Here is an 18,183-nt window from a genome sequence, read left to right as displayed (position 1 = left end):
GGCGACGCGGGGGGGCTTCTGGCCTGCGCCCGGCTGCCGTGTGCGCCGGGTGCCCGCCACGACCCATGTCGCCCATGCCCCAAGTGCCCTCTGCCTTCCCTCCGCAGAAACTGGAGGCCTGCCACCAAGCCCCAATCTCTGCCTCAGTTTCCTCATCTGTACACAGGCCCCATAACACTGGTGCCAGCGCTTGGCAGGAGCCAGCACGTGGAAGTACCCTGTGGGGCGATTCCTGCTATTGTCCTCATCTTCCCGGAGCTGGAGCTCCCTCCCTGGGAGAGTGGGGTGGGGCGGGGCGAGCCGGAAGCGGAGTCCCCACCTCCGTCTGTTAATTTGGTTGTCCACCCGGTCGGGACCCGATCTTGCTGCAGGTGGACAATGGTAATGGCACACCACTCAGCAGCAGAATCAGACTGACCTCGGCTGCAGCCTGGGTCGGTGGGCCTTCCTCTCTCTTGGTCTCAATTTTCTCACCTGTAAAATCGGGTTGTTGTGGGTAGGCAGGAGGTCAAGCTGGTCAGGGAGATCCAGGGCCCTCGTTCGTGCCTTCCCTCTTCTTGGTGTTACTAGGATGTTAAACAGGGACACACAGGACAGGAGAGACCCAGGAGGGCTGAGCACCAGGAAGGGTGGGGAGTGAAGGGTCCCTGGTGGGAGGGAGTCCTCCCAGGGCTGTGTGGTCTGAGCAGGTCCACCACCCCCTCTGGATATAAGTCTCTGCGTCTGAAAGAGTGGACCAGGTGAGCTGAGGGCCCTTAGCCTCCCCTCCTTGACCTGAATAAGCCCTCCTCCCATTCAGCGCCCTCATCTCTCTCTAAATAACGGACCTCCTCCCACTCCCACCTCCTGCCACAGATAACCAGAGAGGCTTTTCCATGACAAATGTATTTAAACAGAGATGGGGTCTCACTGTGTTGCCCAGGCTAGTCTCGAACTCTTGTGCTCAGGCCATCTGCCTGCCTCAGCCTTCCAAATGCTGGGATTACAGGCATAAGCCACTATGGCCAGCCTCTTTTCTGTGATAAAAATCTGTCACTTCAGTGGTCAAGACCCTTCTATGGCTCCCTATGCCCCCTACTTTCCCTACTTTTCCTCCCAGGGAAAGGCAGTCCTTTTTTTTTTGAGACAGAGTCTCGCTCTGTGGCCCAGGCTGGGGTGCAGTGGCACAATCTCTGCTCACTGCAATCTCTGCCTCCCTGGTTCAGGCGATTCTCATGCCTCAGCCTCCCAAGTAGCTGGGATTACAGGCGCCCGCCACCACGCCAGGCTAATTTTTGTATTCTTAGTAGAGATGGGGTTTCACCATGTTGGCCAGGCTGGTCTCGAACTCCTGACCTCAGATGATTTGCCTGCCTCAGCCTCCCAAAGTGCGGGGATTACAGGCGTGAACCACCGCGCCCAGCCAAGGCAGTCCTTTGAGACCCCAAACGCAGTCCAAAGACCAGCAGCATTGCTACCGCTTGTTGGGAATGCAGAATCTCAGCCCCTCCCCAGGCATTCCCGGGTGAATCAGACTCCGATGTGCACACGAATCCCCTGGGGATCGTGTTTAACTGTAAAGTTCCAAAGGCACTCATCTAAACAGCACTGTGAGGAAGCAGTGGCCTCATTCTCATTTCACACATGGGGAAAGCGAGGCAGGGAGGCTAAATAACTTGCTTGAGGTCACACAGACACCAAGCAGTCCTGTAGCCCAGATTCCAACACACGGTCTACCATGAAATCATTCCCTTACACTGTGGGTTGCCATGGCAGGTGATGAGCACCCTGTCGCGAGAGGTGGGTGAGCGGCCGGTGGACGCTCATTTGTCAGAGACTCAGCAGCAGGCCCTCCTGCCCTGGCAGGGAGGTGGTGACCCCAATAGCCGTCAAGTACTGAGCATCTGGGTGCCAGGCATGGGTCAGGCCTGTTACTCAGGTTCTTTCCATCAACAGGCACGTGGTTCAGCGGCCTTCAGAGCCTCGCTTTGCAGGGGATGAACCTCGAGGTCCAGGGAGGTGAGGTGCCTAGACCAGGTCCCTCTGGGAGGAGGAGCCAGGCGCTCATCCCTGAGCTGCGGCAGGTTCCGAATGGCCCTTCTGTTCCCCGCTCCCCTCCAACCCTGCCCAGATGCCTCCTCCTCAGCCGGTGCCCAGAGAAGGCGGAGGCTATTTAAATCCCTCAGGTGTGGCTGCGGTTGTCTCTGCCCAACCAGCTGGCATTTCCTTCTCAGCGCCCACCTCCTCCCCAAGCCAGAGAAAAGCACGTGCAAGTGCCATTTGGTGAAAACATCTGTCCTCCTGGGAAGCAGCCCCCACTGTGTGTGTTGGGGGGGACGTGGGGCTGGAATGAGGCTGGATCCTCCCCTTCCCTTTATTTCCTCAAGACCACAGGGAAACTGGCCAAGGCCAGGGAGAGTCTGAGGAGGGACCGTGGTGCTGGAGGGGAAGGAACCCAAGCTGAATGGCTCCAGGGGCTAGACCTTGTCCCAGGCCTGCCACTGTGGCCTTGAGCCTGCCACGTCCCCTCTCTGGGCCTCAGCTTTCTCATCTGATAAATGGGAAAAATAAAGACAGATGTAGGCCAGTCACGGTGGTTCACACCTGTAATCCCAGCACTTTGGGAGGCAGAGGCAGGGGGATCACTTGAGGCCAGGAGTACAAGACCAGTCAAGGCAACACAGCAAGACTTGTCTCTACAAAAAATTAAGAAAACAGAAAATAAAAAAAAGATTAGCCGGGCATGGTGACAAACCTGTGGCTCCAGCTACTTGAGACGCTGAAGCAGGAGGATCGCTTGAGCCCAGGAGTTGAACGCGGCAGTGAGCTATGATTACATCACTGTATTCCAAACTAAGTGACAGAGTGAGACCTTGTCTCAAAAAGAAAAAACTAAAAAGAGGCCAGGCGCAGTGGCTCATGCCTGTAACCTCAGCACTTTGGGAGGCCAGGTGGGCAAATCTCTTGAGCCCAGGAGTTTGAGACAAACCTGGGCGACCTGGTGAAACTCTATTGCTACAAAAAAAAAAAAAAAAAAAAGACAAAAATTATGGCCAGGCACAGTGGCTCACGCCTGTAATCTCAGCACTTTGGGAGGCTGAGGTGGGCGGATCACCTGAGGTCAGGAGTTCGAGACCAGCCTGACCAATATGGTGAAACCCCGTCTCTACTAAAAATACAAAGATTAGCCGGATTAGTGGCGAGCGCCTGTAATCCAAGCTACTTGGGAGGCTGAGGCAGGAGAATCGCTTGAACCCAGGAGGCAGAGGTTGCAGTGAGCCAACACCAGGCCACTGCACTCCAGCCTGGGTGACAGAGTGAGACTCCGTCTCAAAAAAAAAAAAAAAAAAAACACACACACAAATTAGCCAGGCGTGGTAGCACGTGCCTATAGTTACAGCTTCTTGAGAGGCTGAGTTGGGAGGATCACCTGAGCCTGGGAGGTCAAGGTTGCAGTGAACTGAGATTGCGCTACTCTACTTGAAACTGGGCGTGGGTGACAGTGAGACCCTGTCTCAAAAAGAAATGAAGTATTGCAGGTGCTTAGCCATTGCTCTTTGCATCCAGTTTTCCTGATGTCCCTATGAAATGGATACTATGTCCTTATTTTACAGATGAGGAAATCGGGGCTCAAATTTGTCTCTTGCTCCCCAAGGTCAGTCACATGGCTCTCCTCTCCCCAAAGTCCTAAGGCTCTGTCCACAGTAATTAGCCCCACCTCTTTTGTGCCCACTAGGCTCCCAGGTGGAGACTTTCAAAGCTCCCCATGGAGAAAAGGGGAAACCCTTTACTCACGGAAAACATTTGGCTCTAGCCCCTGCCAGCACTCTGGCCACCTGCATGGTCATTCACGATCTGTCCCTGCTGCTGGGTGGATTCCAGCAAGTCCCTCACGTCTCTGAGCCTCAATTTCCCAACACTCAAAAATGTGCCTGCTGCAGGGGAAAGCAAAGAGGGAAATTTCCTTTAGCTCAAAGGGCAAGGACTGTTTTCTTCTCACTTAACAAAGCAAATTCTACGTTCAAAGTCAGATTTATGGAAGAGAGAATGGGGGACTTGCTCAATTATTTTTTAAAAATAGGTATATATAATCTCTCTCGCTCGCTCTCTTTTTCTGGTCCTAGCCCTTTCTTATATTTCACCACTGTTTGGAATATCCTGCAAACTGCCTCCAATTCTGTGTGGAAGGAAATAGGGGTGTAAAGTGAAAATCACTCCACTTAATTGGCTGTCTCTCACCGGGCAGGGGCCTGGAAGGAAAGCTATGTCCCGGGCTTCCGGGGCTCCCTAGAGCTTCCTCTAGGCCGCCAAGTCTTCCTCTGGCCTAGGCGAGTGGACGCTCCCCCGTGGAAGGAATGACCTCTTCCCAGGCAGCCCCTGAGGTCCCGCCCGCCCGGAGGCGCGGACGAGTCCATTTCCTAACCGAGTGCGGGGTGGGCCCAGCCTTCCTCTCCCTGCGGTTCCACCCCAGGTGTTCGGGAAGCTCTTTCCCCAGCTCAATATATTTTGAGTGACAGGAGGCAGGGGCAGCGGGCCGCATTTTACTGACACACCAAGGTTATAAACACCAAGGTTCAAAACCTCTCTTCCCGTTTTAGTTACAAACACATTTACTGAAGACCAGCTGGGCACCAGGCGCCTTGAGGGTTGAACTTAGGTGCAGCCTCCAGGGGCCTTTCTGGTGCTGTGGGAGGTGGGTGCCTGTGCACGGACTGGACCGCACAGAGGAAAAATGGCAATCACTGTCTGTTGGAGGGAGTCCCTGGGAGGACTGCTCTTAAAGAAGGCTTTAGGGCAAATGATGCTCTAGTGGGCTTTGGAGGGTGTGTAGGAGCTTGCCTCGGAGACAAAACCTTGGGGAAGAGAAGAGAGTCCCCAGTAGAAGGTACTAATTGCACAAAGGCGAGGAGATAAGACGTGGCCTGCCCCCCCGCCCCTCAGTGCCTTTTACTTGTACCATTCATTATTATTTATTATTATTATTATTTTCAGACGGAGTCTCACTCTCTCACCCAGGCTGGAGTGCAGTGGTGCGATCTCAGTTTACTGCAACCTCCACCTCCCGGGTTCAAGCGATTCTCCTGCCTCAGCCTCCGGAGTAGCTGGGATTACAGGCGCCTGCCACCACGCCCGGCTAATTTTTGGATTTTTAGTAGAGACAGGGTTTCACCATGTTGGTCAGGCGGGTCTCTTAAGTCCTTACATCAGGTGATCCACCTGCCTCGGCCTCCCAAAGTGCTGGGATTACAGGCGTGAGCCACCGCGCCCGGCCTGTAGAGGCCAAGGAAGGGAAGAAGGAAAAGATGAGCATTAAGGTTAGACAGATGAGTTAGGCCCTCAAACTCCACCACCTAAGAGCTATCTGAATTTAGACTAGCTAATCTCTCCAAGTTATAGTGTTCACATCATTAACCTGGGTATAAACCAAGTACCGACCTCATACAATAGTTATCCGGGTTAAAGTTAGCTAAATATCTAAAGCGATTTGCAAGATATAAACCACGCAATGCACGTCACCTCAGCTCCTTGCTTCCCTTCACAGGCAACTGAGGCCCAAAGAGGGTCTGCCAGAGCAGAGAGGGGCAAAAACAGACAACTCCAGGGTTTCAGATGGTGACCTCTCCCTCACTGGTTTATTCCTGAAGATGTGAGACTTCTAGGGCCTGGAAGTCTTCTGTGTCTTGATCATGGTGGTGGTAACACGAGTTTTATGAGTATGTCTGAAAAATTAATCGAGCTGTACCTTTTTTTTTCTTTTTAAGAGACAGGGTCTCGCCTTGTTGCTCAGGCTGGAGGAGGAGTGCAGTGACAGGAATGATAGCTCACTGCAGCCTCGAACTCCTGGGCTCAAGCCATTCTCCCGGCTCGGCCTCCCGAGTAGCTGGGACTACAGGTGCACGCCATTACACTGTTATTTTTTTCTAAAAGACAGGGTCTCGCTATGTTGCCCAGGCTGGTCTCGAACTCCTGGGCTCAAGTGAGCCTCCCGCCTCGGCCTCCCAAAGTGCTGGATTACAGGCGTGCGCCACCGCGCCCCGCAGAGCTGTACTTTTAAGATGTTCGCTGTACTATTTGTAAGTTACACCTCAATTAAAAAGAAAAGCATAATAACCCGGGCCGCGACGCCCCCACCCCTCGCCGCTGGCGACAGGTGTCTCTCGGTGACCAAAACGCGGCTCTCAGCGCGCGGAGTCGTGCGCCTCGCGGAGGCCCTGGCGAGGTTCCTACGGCAACCGCAAGCCGCTCGCAGCGTCTCCAGAGTGACGAGGCGCGAACGAAGACCCGGAGCCCGGATTCAGGAGTCACAGAGCGAGGCTGGAGAGAGACCGCGGCTGGCCAAACGAGGAGGGGAGAGGCTGGGCCACCCTTCGTCCTTGCGCTGGCATTCCGAGGACTTCCGGCAAACACCACTCCCCAGCCCTGACGGTGGCCACAAGCCGCTGCTTGAAAACACCCCTGGGGATTCATTCTCAGCTTTCCAGGTGGGAAGATGGAGGGCCTGGCTGCCCCCCCAGTAACTCGGGGCTCATCAGGGGCAGAGCTAGGCCCTGCACCCGGTGGCCTCCTTCCAAGTTCGTGCAGTGCAGCCAAGTGCCAGGCACTGGGGCTGGGTGCTGGCACCCCCTTGGGTTATGGGTCCAGCTCTGCTAGTAACTTACTGTGTGGTCGTGGAGTTCTCTCTCCTCTCTGAGACTCAGACATGGGGACACCTCCACCAGTATCTCAGAGTAGCTGTTACCAAGCGTGTGAAATAATGGAGTGTGAAAGCGGCTCACCAACTGGAACGTGCCTTGCGCATGCCACAGACCATCACAGTTGCCACCCAATTGCCATCTTGTCCTCTTTATCGCCCCAGCCCCTGGGGCTCAGAAATCTCTGTGCCCAGAAGTTTCAAGTCTGCGGGTGAGAGTCTACTCCACTTTCCCCTTCGAGAAGTGGGTCCAGGGCAGCTCTCCTGAGCACCAGTCATCATCTAGTCCCCAGACTTAAAGGGGTTCAGAGAGACACAACCCTTCATCCACCTGCCTGCCACCTCCTCCTTACCCTCTGCCCTGTGGTTGTAGAAGTTCCCCACTAAGTAAGGATTTCTGGAAACCCTAAGACACAGCACCCCAGACAGAGTCTACTGGGTAACACAACTGATTGCCCTTTAGATGCCACAGGCTGGGCATGTGTTTGGACAGTTGTGTGTATCTGTGAATATGTGTGTCCATGTGCTGTGAGGGTATATGTACACTGGTGTGTGTGTGTGTCCGTGTGCCTGGCATGCATATATTGGTGTACGTGTGTATTTGGGATGGGTGTGTGAATATGTGGATATAAAAGCATGTCTTTGCGGCTCCATGGTGTGTGTGTGCAGGTGGATGTTGTGTAGTTGTGGCAGACGTTTACCCGTGCATCTGATGCAGCTTTGCTGATGTGTGTGTACCCCTCGGTGGGCATGCGTGGGACTGTATTTGTGGTGTGTACAGTGGATGTGGAGAACTGTGATAACCTGTAATTGTGTATGTGTGGGAGTGTGCTGGGGGGTCTTGGGTGCGGGGGTTCTGCTCCCCCCTCTCCTATCACCTGAGTGACCTTCTTCCCTAGCTGAGGACTGTGACTGAGATCACAGGCATGCATGGGACAGCTCCTGCCCTTCCACAGACCTGTGGCTGCCCAGGTCTTGGGCCAGGGTGGGCACCAGGGGCCAGGGTGGGTGGGTGAGCCTAGGGCGAACACTCATGTGCCACCCCCTCCCTGCCTGGTCTCCTCCCCTCCCCACAGCAGGAGCAGCAGCGGGAAAGGTTGGCGGAGGGGGGCTATTTTGGGAGCGTCTCCTTAGCAACAGCTGCCACGGCCGTCTGTGGCGGTTTTTCTATAGGTGCTAAAATATTCCACCCTGGTGACTACTGAGTGCTGGGGGGTGGGCGAGGGTGGAGGTGGAGGGCAGGAGAGACCCCTACAGTCCTCTGTCCCCAGGGCACAGCCTGCTGGGATGGGTTCTGGGCCTCTGGCCCCCCAGTGTCCCTTTAATCACCTCTGGACCTCACCCCCTGGAAGCTCCTGGGACTTTAGAGCTCCGAGGCAGGCCAGCTGTGTCCTGATCTGATTTCTAATCTAAGTATCTGGGCTACCTCAGTTTGCCTCATCTGCAGAATGGGCTGGCTGGACCTTTTTTTTTTTTTTTTTTTTTTTTTTTGAGATGGAGTCTTGCTCTGTAGCCCAGGCTGGAGTGCAGTGGCGCGATCTCAGCTCACTGCAACCTCTGCCTCCCGGGTTCAAGTGATTCTCCTGCCTTCGCCTCCCGAGTAGCTTGGATTACAGATGCGCACCACAGTGCCTGGCTAATTTTTGTATTTTTAGTAGAGTCGAGGTTTCACCATGTTAGCCAGGCTGGCCTCAAACACCTGACCTCAAGTGATCTGCCCGCCTCGGCCTCACAAAGTGCTGGGATTACAGGCGTGAGCCACCGCGCCCGGCCCTGGCTGAACTTTAAGACACTCTCTAGGACAAAAACCTCTGGCCTCTGTGACTCTAGCATTTTGAAGTGGCCTTTTCCGTCTCCTCCCCAGCTGTCCACCTGCCTGGCCCAAGTTGCCCTCCCTTCCACTCCTCTCAGCCCTCTACACAGGCTCTCAGGGCCCCTGTAGGACCCAGGAGGTGTGAGCAGGACCCCACAGTAAATCGGTTAGTGAGTGCTCTGCTAGCCTGGAATGACCTTTCCCCAGAAAGTGGAAGTTGAGCCTGGTTCAAATCCTGGCCCAGACAGTTGCTTACTGCCTGACCCCAGACAAGCCACTTCCCCTCTCTGTGTGTCAGTTCAGAGTCCTCACCTGTGAGGTAAAGACAGGCATAGCCCGTACCCCACGGAGATCTTGTGAGGATCAAAGGAGAGAATGGAGAATGGAGATGGCCAGGACGTTTTACCAAAGTGTATGGTGGACAGAGGTTTTACAAGCATTCTCCTCCAAACTTCAGAGCGAACCTCCTTCCTCCAGACCATTGTTCCTGGCCACACCGGCCCTGCCACTCATGGCATTACTGCCCGTGCCTCAGTTTCCCCATTGGTAACAGGTGCCTGGAGAATTCTTGCAAGAATCAAAGGAGACAATCCCTGCGAAGGTCTGGATAGTGCTGAGCTAGGGGTACGAGTGCAGGGGAAGCAGGTTGTCCTCATTCCGTCTGGTGGGGGGGCGCATCTGTGGTGGATCATGACAAAGCCCACTTACCCTTGGGAGACCTAGTCCACACTGTCCCACTACAGACGAGGCCTCTGAGGTCCAGAGAGGACACGCATCTTGCCCAGGGTCACACAGGTTCTGACACCCAAGACTTTTCTCAACTCCCTCACACTGCCCCCAGGCCTCTGCATGCCCATTTCCATCTCTGCCCCCAACCTCACACAGGGCTAGAGGCTACTCACACGGAAGGTGAACAATGTGAAGTCTTCCTTTAGTCTTTGATTATCCTCAAAACAGCTGCTCGACCACGTGCGGTGGTTCACACCTGTAATCCTAGCACTTTGGGAGGCCAAGGAAGGTGGATCGCTTGAACTCAAGAGTTTGAGACTAGCCTGGACAACATGACAAAACCCCATCTCTACAAAAAATACAAAAATTAGCCTGGCATGGTGGCACATGCCTGTGGTCCCAGCTACTCGGGAGGCTGAGGTAGGAGGATGGCTTAAGCCCAGGAGGCGGAGGTTGCAGTGAGCTGAGATTGCGCCACTGCACTCCAGCCTGGGCAACAGAGCCAGATCCTATCTAAAAACAGCAACAACAACAAACACACACACACACACACACACACACACACACACACACACACACACCCCGAAGCTCAAAGTGGGTATTATAGTTCTCATTTTACATATGAGGAAACAAAGGCCCAGAGAGGAGAGTTGAGCTGCCCAGGGTCACACAGGGCTGGAGAGGAGAGAAAGGGCTCTTTCCTGGGGCCTCCGAACCTCTCCCTGCCTGGAGCTCCTCTGCTTGCCTCTCCCTACCTCCTCCCAGTCCAGTCTCCTTGCAGGATGAACAGCAGCCCCAGGGTGCGGCCCAGGCCCGGCAAGCTAACCCTCCTTGCCCCAGAGCCCCCATCCCATCTTCAAGTTTGTGCCCAGGGACTTGGCATCAGGAGACTGATTCTGTGACAGTAGATGCTTTGGATCTACAGACATCTCTGTCTGCATTTTCCCCTCCTTCCTGCCCCTTCCTCCTCTCCCTGCACCCCACACTCCCAGGATGGCTACCAGGTCAGGCCCGTGGCCAGGCAGGTCATTTGTCTCACCCTCATCCTCCCACTTTCCATCCACAGAAAAGGTGAAAAAGACCAGGCACACATCTCTTGCCCACAGGGCACTCAGGCTGCTTGAGTCTCCCCTGCATCCACGCACTGAGCATTCATGTGATGGAACATCAGTCCTGGCTGTCTGCCTGTGAGGACACAGCAGGGTAACCAGGGAGAGGCGTGGAACAGGACGTGCGTTCTGGAGGTCTGCACAGTCGGAGAGAGCCGTGAGAAAGGATGGCCACATTTATTGAGCGCCTACCATGATCTGTGTATTTCTTGTGCATCCACCTCACTTAATCTACCCCTTGGGAATGGAGGACGTTAGGGTCCTCAATTTACAGACAGATTAAATAAAAACTTGTTCAAGGTCAAGTAGCTCCTAGGTGCTTTTGAGCCTAGGTTAGCCTGACTCCTCATCCCACTAAGCAAGAACCATACTTGTGCCCCGCCCAGGGGCTGGTATGTGGTGGGTGCCTAGTGCTGGTTGAATGAATGAGTGGGTGATAAATGACTTCTGCTGGGGTCATCAGGAGGCCTTCTCAAGGAAGTGGCACTGAGGCTGGGCTTGGGGAACAGCAGGAATTCTCTGGGCAAAAAAGGTGGAAGGATATCTTAGTGAGGAGGAACAGTGCGTGCAGGCAGAGAGGTGTGGAGGCCTGTGGCGTGTTCTGGAATCTGTGGAATCAGGGTGTACCTGTGGATTTATGGGATGTGGGATGCCGGATAAGGTGGGGCCTGACTATACCACACTGAGGAGTTGGGACTGAATCCTTTTGAGTAGGGAGAGCCCACGAGGAAGGGAAACACTTGTGGTGGTTTGTGTGTTGCTGTTCTTATGCTGACATCCTCGAGGCTCAGGAGAGCCAGAGGGGATTTCAGATTTCATCAGTTCTCCACCTGGCTTTGGGGTGCCTCGGTCTCTCCCTCTCTGTAATGGGGCTAGTCGGTGATGGCCAGACTCCCAGGGAAGTTTTGCTGGCTGTCTAACTGCAGGTGTTCTCTCGTCCTACCACCCTGGAAGGAGGAGCACTTTCCCTCCTGTCTCCTCGGAGGGCTAGAGTGACGTGGCAGGATGGTCAGGATGTAGCTGGCTAGACAGGTGCTGTGGGTGCTGGGGGTTCCCTGACACCCCAGAGTGTGGGGCCCAGGCCTGACAGCTTGGGGTAATGGAGAGCGACAGAGAATAAGAGACTAGGGTTTGGCCTGGCTTTGTCATCTCTGGGTGACCTTGGCCGAGTTTCTGACCCTCTCTGGTACCCAGTCTCGCCATCTGTAAAATGGGGCAGTGGTGACTGAGTGATCGCGAGGGTCCCTCCAATAGGGCCCCCTCAGACTCCCAGAGTGAGGTGCTTCGGGTCCTTGACCGGCGGTACTTTGGGAGAGTACGAGGACCGCTAAGGAGAGGGGCGGACTCCGTGGGACCCCAGAGGGACCAGCTCCCACCCACCCCCCTTCCCGGCTCGGAGGAACCCTCTCCACCTGCCCCCTTTTGGGGGGGGGGCACAAAACCCGGGAGCGGATCCAGGAACGGGTTCTGGGAGGAGCGCTCCTGGGGCGAGGAGGAAAACCCGGGCAGGATCCAGGGCAGGAGCGGGGCCAGCAGCCCCCCGCCCCAGCCCCTGCTCCGCGCCGCGGGCCCCGCGGGAGGGGGCTTGAGGCCGGGTTAGGCCGAGGGGCGGGCAGGGCGGGGTCCCGCGGGCAGCCGGGGCTCCCGGGCTGGGGGGCGCGCGGCCTCCGCAGTGGGGCGCGGGTCACGTGTGAGGAGGGGCGAAAGTCTCGCAAAGCGGGGCGGCGTGCCGCGAGTTGGGAGTTCTCGGCGCGCCGCGGGCGGCGGGAGCTCGGGCTCCCGGGCGAGCCGGGGACGCGGCCAAGGCGGGGGCCGGGGTCCGAGACAGAGGGGGCCGCACGGAGAGTGGGAGGGGGAGAGACAGAGAAGGACAGGGGCCGCGAGGGAGACGGACAGAGACGCGCAGGGGAGAGAGGCAGCGCGGGCAGAGGGAGGCGGGGGGAGGCCGGCGGGCGACCGCGACGGAGACGGAGACCCCGCGGGCAGAGGGCGAGCGGGGCCGCAGGAGGCAGGGAGGCCGGGAGAGGGACCGGGACGCGAGCGCGGCGGAGACCCCGGCGGCAGGAGAGAGACGCGAGAGCGGTCGGGGAGGTGGCGACAGAGCCCGGCCGGCGGGGGCGGGGAGGGCGACCCCAGGCCGGGAGGCCGAGGGGTCGCGGGGCCGGGGCCGAGCGCAGCGGGGCCGGGAGTGGAGCGCAGGGCCGGGGGCAGAGCGCGCGAGCAGGAGCGGGTGACAGCGAGGGAGCTGGGCGCAGCGGGGGACGGCGGCGGGGAGGGCGCCTGCAGCGGGGGTGGGGGGCGCGGGCGGCGGGGCGCCCCGGGCCCCCGGACCCCCGCGCTGTGAGCCCGGCCGGGCCCGACGATGCTGACGCCGAGGCGGCGCCGAGGGCGCGGCGCGGGGCAGCGCTGAAAGTTGGGCGGCCCGCGGGGAGCGGCGCGGGACGGCCGGGACGCGCGGAGACCCCAAGACCCACGCGCAGACCGAGCGGCAGCCGGGGAGGGGAGCGCGGGCCGGCCGGCCGAGTTCGCGGGCAGGGGGCGCCGGGACTCCCCTTTCCGCGCCCGGGACGCCGCCCGCCGGATCGCGCCTTGGGATGTAGCGCCCGCTCGCCGCCTCCCGGACTCTCGTCGGACCCTCCGCCCAGCGGTAAGCCGCGCTCGCCCACCCCGGGCGCTGTCCGTCAGTTTGTCCCGCCGCGTGCGTGTCTGTGTGTCCCGGGCCCGCCGCTCCGGCCCCGCCCGCTCCGCACCTGATCCGGAGCCGGGTCCCGGCTGCCCGGCGCCGCGCGCGCGGTCCCGTGACTCCCCGGGAGCGGGCGGGCTCCACGGGCGGGCTCTGTCCGTCTGTCCGTCTGGGAGCGTCGCGGTCTGGGTTGTGGCCTGGAAAGGGGGAGAGAGGTGGGTGGAAGGGGTCTTGACCTCCTGCCCCAGCCATGACCTTTCCCTGCCTCCACCCACCCCAGTTGTCATGCCGGGGAGCTTCAAGGCAGGTGACTTGTGGCAAGGTGGGGGATGCCGCCTTTCCGCCTCCCCAGCTGCATCCTCGTTGCAAATGGCCCTGTGATCTGAAGAACGAAATCTCACTTCTCATGTTTTGAGCACCTACTTGGCGCCACACGACCCCAGGGCGCAGGGGCAGGGATTGGTAGAGGAGGCACTGCACGTTCACAGTGATAGACACAGGCTGGGGAGGGAGGCAGAGGCTGCTTTTTCCTCCGTGTGTAGGGAGCACCCCAAGGCAAGAGAGGTCTCAATGAGCCTCCCGCAGGGAGAACTTCCCCTGCAACCTGCCAAATGTCCCCCCACCAGTGTCAGCCTCCCTGCCCCCTACCCACATTTCTGCCCCCAGTGTCCCTGCTTCAGGATGGACAGGATGCAGGGAGTTGGGAGGTGGCAAGCTGGGTGGGGTGGAGCGGCGGGCTAGAGGCAGGGCAGCCTGGCCAGCTGACAGAGCAGGGCCTCAAGAGCAGTAGAATGTTCAGCAGCAGGTTTGGGGGAAGTGGGGAACTCAGGGAGGGAGGCCCAGAGAAGGGTTGGAGCCGTGTGTGTGTGTGTTCTCCCCCACATCCAGTCCCATGACCTCCATGGCTTCAGGCCTTTTGGGGGCAGTTAGCAGGACTTTAGGGGCCCAAGAGCCTCACTGTGGCCCTGGCTTGGCCTGTGCTGAGGGGAGCAAAAGGTGGACCAGGGCAGCTGGGGTAAGAGATGGGTGCAGCATGGTGGGAACAGAGACTGTTGGCCACTGAACTGACCCATATCCCAACTGGAGTTGGAAGGGCTGAGCCTAGAACATTCCACTCCATTCTCACTGGGAGGAGGGACTCTTTCTGGGGTGTTCCACACTGGGCAGTGGGTCTCATATGTCCTCCATTCAGCCTCCCAGAAATTAGCTCAGGTGGCTGGGAGAGCAGCCCCCTGGGCTGGTCACTCTCCTCCCAACCGTCATCTTCCACATCTGTGGCATGGGGACGTCACTCCCTGCCCCAGTGACCTCCAAGGCGGGCCCTGGGCTCAATGAGCAGTGGGCTGTTCACAGGCTGGGGAAAGCACTGGGGAGATGGGAGTAAAGACTCACTTTACCTTAAGAGAGATGAACAGCTAGTGGGTGGAGGTGGGCGTGGGGCAGTGGGAATATGGCGGAAATAGCTGACGAAGGAGGAGTGTCCAGGATTAGAGGGGGAATCTGGGGTACAATTCCTCATGGCCCTTTGGGTTATCCTTGAAAAGAAAGCTCTTCTCTCAGAAAATCCTCTGGAGTGGCTGTGACCAGGCAGAGCTGGTTGAGTTTCTGCTGGGTGACCTTGGGTGGGTGGCTTGACCTCTCTGAACCTCAGTTTCTTCAACTGGAGAATAGGTATGATGATACTGACTTCATCAGGGTGTTGAGCAGTTTCCAGACTGTGTCAGGTCTGTGAAAGCCGCGTGCGCCAGCCTGGAGCATAGTAGGTTCGTAGACATTTGCGAAAGAGAGAATGAAGTAGCTCTGGGAGATGCTGTGAGAAGATGTCTTAGCTTAGGATAAGAAGGAAGGGGAGGAGGAACAGTGTAGGCTTACAGGGCGGGCTGGTTCTTAATGTGGATCTGGGGGAGGCGGGGGCGAGTGCTAAGGGGGGTGTGAGGAGGAGGGGGCCCCTCTGCGGGGACCACTGAGTCACGAGGACATGTAAGCGACATGACAACCGGCAACATGGTAACCAGGAAACTAGCGGCGGTGGGAAACAGAGCTGGAGCAGTGTGGGGTGGGGGTGGCGGGTAGGCCTGGCAGTGCCGGGCTCAAGGGGTCCGGGGAGAAGCCAGGCTGGCCCCTCAGAGTGAGGAGGGGAGGCCCCAGGGCCAGGCTAGCTGGGGAAGAGATGGGGGCCCTGAGGGGAGGGAGGGGAGGCACCTCGGGGCTGTAGGGCAGGGGGCTCCTCCTGCACCACCCCAGGCTCCTCTCTGCTCCTCCACATCTCCACTTTTCATGCCTCTCCCCCTAGGATGCCAAATTTGGCTCACGCAATCTGTCGTCTCTCTTCTGAGATTGGCACCGGGACGAAAGCCGAGTGCATTACATCACCACCGCCGCCGCTCCCCCTGCACGAGGAGAGCAGTAGGGGAGGGCCAGAGGGCCGGGGGCAAGTGGCCAGCCCTCAACTTTCTTTCCTGTCTTCCTGCTCACTCTTCCCATCTCAGCCCTAGATGCTCGGGGGCTTCTGGGGGCAGCGGCTAGAGGCAGGACGTGGGCTCCAGTCTTGGGGAGATCCCAGGACCAGGGCAGAAAGTCAGGTCATGTTGCCAGCCCCCTGTCTGGGTGGAGCCTGGGGGCAGGGAGGCTTGGTTCAGGACCCTGGTCTGTCAGTGCCTTGCTCTGTGACCTTGGGCAGCCCCTTGCCTCATGTGGAGTCCACATCTGTATAGAGAACGGCTGGCCACTTAAGATCTTGGCGATTCTCCTGAAAGAAGGTGCCCTTAAGTTCTGCGGCTCTCCTGGGCCCAGAGGAGGGAGCCCTGGATTTCAAATCACCCTCTGTGACCTTGAGCAATTGGCTTCAATGCCTCATGCCTCCATCTCCCCACCTGTAAAATGGGGATGACAGAATCCTCAAAGGCAACAGCTATGAAAGCAGGAGACAGGAGTAGAGATAAGGCCTCTGACTCTGAAACCATAGACACTCAGGGGCCCGTGGATCCAGCATGCTGGGCAGGGGTTGGACAGGGTAGAGTGGGAGGGTGCCTGGATTCAGACAGAAGGTTTGGAGCTTAAATCACTGGTCTGATGCCTTCGTTTTACAAAAGTGGAAACTGAGGCCTGAGGGGGAAGTAGACCCATCAGGGTCACAGTGATGGTTTGTGGGCGGAGGAAGCAGAGCCAGGGCCATTGTTTTACAAAAGTGGAAACTGAGGCCTGAGGGGGAAGTGGACCCATGAGGGTCACAGTGATGGTTTGGGGGTGGAGGAAGCAGGGCCAGGGCCTGAATCCAGGGCTTCTGGCTCCCAGCTCTATCTGGAAGCAGACAGACAGATGTCCCTGTGTAACACTGTGGCAAGCCCAGACAGGACCCAGGAGCTTTGAGGGCCCAGCTCTGAATTCGGCCACCTCCTTTCTCCCTCCCTTCTCTCCAGATCCCCTCACCCCACTGTCCTTGGGCACTAATCCCCTCCCTCTATTGGTCTCTTTGAAGAACTCCTTTCAGTCTCATTTTAAAGCCAGTTTCAGGCAGTCCCAGGCAAGGACAGGTTGGATTTGGGGTTAACTGGAAGCTTATGCTCCATTCTAGAAAATTCCCAGAGCTGGAGGTGGAGCAAGATAGGGAGCAGCTGTGGTTGTTTTGTGAGATAGTGGGCTCCTCAATCCTAGAGGTATTCAAGCAGAGCCAGATGAGCACCTGCCAGGTGACTCTCGCCTTACGGGTGAGGCCGAATAACATCCCCACTTCCAAAATCCTAGGAGTCTTTGGTGTTTCCCAAAGAGGAGCTGGGAAGCAGTGCCCATCGCTTCCCCGCTTCCCAGCGAGGAAACACATTTGCTCGCCAGGCACTGGGCTAGGAGCTTTTGCAAATTCCCATTTAATTCTCCATGGCAATGTTGATTTGATGTCCCCGTGTTATAGATGGAAGGGCCATGGCTCAGAGAATCTATGTGATTTGTCCAGGGTCACACAGTAAGACAGCAGAGGAGCCTGGGTGTGAGTTCAGACTAGTCTGATTCTCGGGGGCTGTCTCTGGGGCTTCCCTGGGGAAAGAGTGGAAAACGTTCCTCCCTGGGGCTGGGGCTTGGCAGGAGATGGTCTAGACGCCCCCACAGCGTGACACCCCCTCAGGGATCCTCTGGCTCCTCTGGGGGCTCCATTCTGAAGACAGATACCACCATGCATCTTAGGGGAGAACTCATTTCATAGATGGGAAGACTGAGGCCCAGAGACAAGGAATGACCTGCCCGAAGGTGCCCAGAGAGTTAGATTAGGGCCAGGCTGCCTGTCTCCTGGCCCAGGGCTCTGTCCCCTGTGCCAGTGAGTGAGGAGGGGCCTTTGGGCTGACGGTGGTGGCATGAGGTGTGAGGTCGGGAATGCAGAGGGCTGAGAGAGGGCTGGCTCCAAGCTAGGGCTGCAGGAGGAAAGTTATCGGCGCAGGGAGAGGGGAGCAGAAGGGAAATGGCACATGTGCTACAGAGCCTGGTGAGGTCAGTGGGACCTGGCTGGCAGGAGAGGGTCTTGGAGACAACTTCCTTGGGTGGCTCTCTGTGTGACCTTAGGTCAGTCCCTCACCCTCTCCGAGTGATGTCCACCCATCCATGTGAACCTGGGCTGAAAGATCTATTTCCACCGAGTAGCTGTGGTTGGGCTGCTGTCGAAAAGCGCTCCTCCCAACGATGGGAGGACTGTGGGTCCTGGCAAGGGGCAGGCGGGAATCCTAGGGGTTGGCATAACCTTTAAGCCTCCTCTGCGGACTCAGCCCTCCTTGGGGTGTGGGGGATCGCCAGTCACAGCCCTTCTTCTCCTTTTCATCTTTATTTTTCTCCTGTTCCCTCTTCCCCTCGCTACGTGGGCTGATCGCTGCTCAAACTTTTAATTCAGATGGTAATTGAAATAATAATATGGGCTGAGGCCCCTCTGCTTGTGACGCTGCAGCTGGTGGAGCTCGGCTATGAATAGACCTTGAGTCACACACGCGCGCTCCTGCAGGCGCGCACACGGGCGCTCACGGGGTGGTGGGTGGGGTGCAGCATGGGGAGCAGGGGTGAGCTCACGCTCTGGCTTGCTCTGGTCTTGGCCCCCCACTCCCAAAGGTCTTGACCAATCCTGGCCCCGTGGCCCAACACGGGGTCCCTGTCGTGAACCTGGAAGACTTTGGACATAGATGATTCTCATTTACAGAAGGGGAAA

At 57.6% G+C, this 18,183-nt stretch overlaps 1 protein-coding gene and 1 long non-coding RNA gene across 2 annotated transcripts in view, besides 6 other annotated features; both read left to right on the top strand.

Annotated features, from left to right (window-relative positions):
- Window positions 21-90: a silencer, noted in NCBI's record as "silent region_13719". NCBI's record gives its function as "represses an Ori minimal core promoter by ATAC-STARR-seq in GM12878 lymphoblastoid cells {active_cell/tissue: GM12878}" and the evidence as "EXISTENCE:reporter gene assay evidence [ECO:0000049][PMID:35858748]".
- Window positions 2,043-2,544: an enhancer, noted in NCBI's record as "H3K4me1 hESC enhancer chr22:38861409-38861910 (GRCh37/hg19 assembly coordinates)". NCBI's record gives its function as "activates a minimal SCP1, AML or CMV promoter by ChIP-STARR-seq in primed H9 embryonic stem cells {active_cell/tissue: H9 hESC(primed)}" and the evidence as "EXISTENCE:reporter gene assay evidence [ECO:0000049][PMID:30033119]".
- Window positions 3,971-4,470: an enhancer, noted in NCBI's record as "H3K4me1 hESC enhancer chr22:38859483-38859982 (GRCh37/hg19 assembly coordinates)". NCBI's record gives its function as "activates a minimal SCP1, AML or CMV promoter by ChIP-STARR-seq in naive H9 embryonic stem cells {active_cell/tissue: H9 hESC(naive)}" and the evidence as "EXISTENCE:reporter gene assay evidence [ECO:0000049][PMID:30033119]".
- Window positions 6,041-6,541: an enhancer, noted in NCBI's record as "H3K4me1 hESC enhancer chr22:38857412-38857912 (GRCh37/hg19 assembly coordinates)". NCBI's record gives its function as "activates a minimal SCP1, AML or CMV promoter by ChIP-STARR-seq in naive H9 embryonic stem cells {active_cell/tissue: H9 hESC(naive)}" and the evidence as "EXISTENCE:reporter gene assay evidence [ECO:0000049][PMID:30033119]".
- Window positions 6,280-10,626, top strand: LOC124905116 (uncharacterized). Its single transcript, XR_007068096.1, has 2 exons — window positions 6,280-6,461; window positions 10,279-10,626. It is a non-coding gene; the product is annotated as an uncharacterized LOC124905116 (long non-coding RNA).
- KCNJ4 (potassium inwardly rectifying channel subfamily J member 4) overlaps window positions 12,749-18,183 on the top strand; it is a 28,873-nt gene continuing 23,438 nt past the window's right edge. The window contains exon 1 of the mRNA NM_152868.3: window positions 12,749-12,968. The gene's annotated coding sequence lies outside the window, so the exon portion shown is untranslated. The remainder of the gene's footprint in view (window positions 12,969-18,183) is intronic.
- Window positions 14,853-15,471: an enhancer, noted in NCBI's record as "H3K4me1 hESC enhancer chr22:38848483-38849101 (GRCh37/hg19 assembly coordinates)". NCBI's record gives its function as "activates a minimal SCP1, AML or CMV promoter by ChIP-STARR-seq in naive H9 embryonic stem cells {active_cell/tissue: H9 hESC(naive)}" and the evidence as "EXISTENCE:reporter gene assay evidence [ECO:0000049][PMID:30033119]".
- Window positions 15,472-16,091: an enhancer, noted in NCBI's record as "H3K4me1 hESC enhancer chr22:38847863-38848482 (GRCh37/hg19 assembly coordinates)". NCBI's record gives its function as "activates a minimal SCP1, AML or CMV promoter by ChIP-STARR-seq in naive H9 embryonic stem cells {active_cell/tissue: H9 hESC(naive)}" and the evidence as "EXISTENCE:reporter gene assay evidence [ECO:0000049][PMID:30033119]".

This window comes from Homo sapiens, chromosome 22, assembly GCF_000001405.40.
Source record: "Homo sapiens chromosome 22, GRCh38.p14 Primary Assembly".
Lineage (NCBI taxonomy): Eukaryota > Metazoa > Chordata > Mammalia > Primates > Hominidae > Homo > Homo sapiens.
This window is presented reverse-complemented; position numbering and strand designations above follow the sequence as displayed.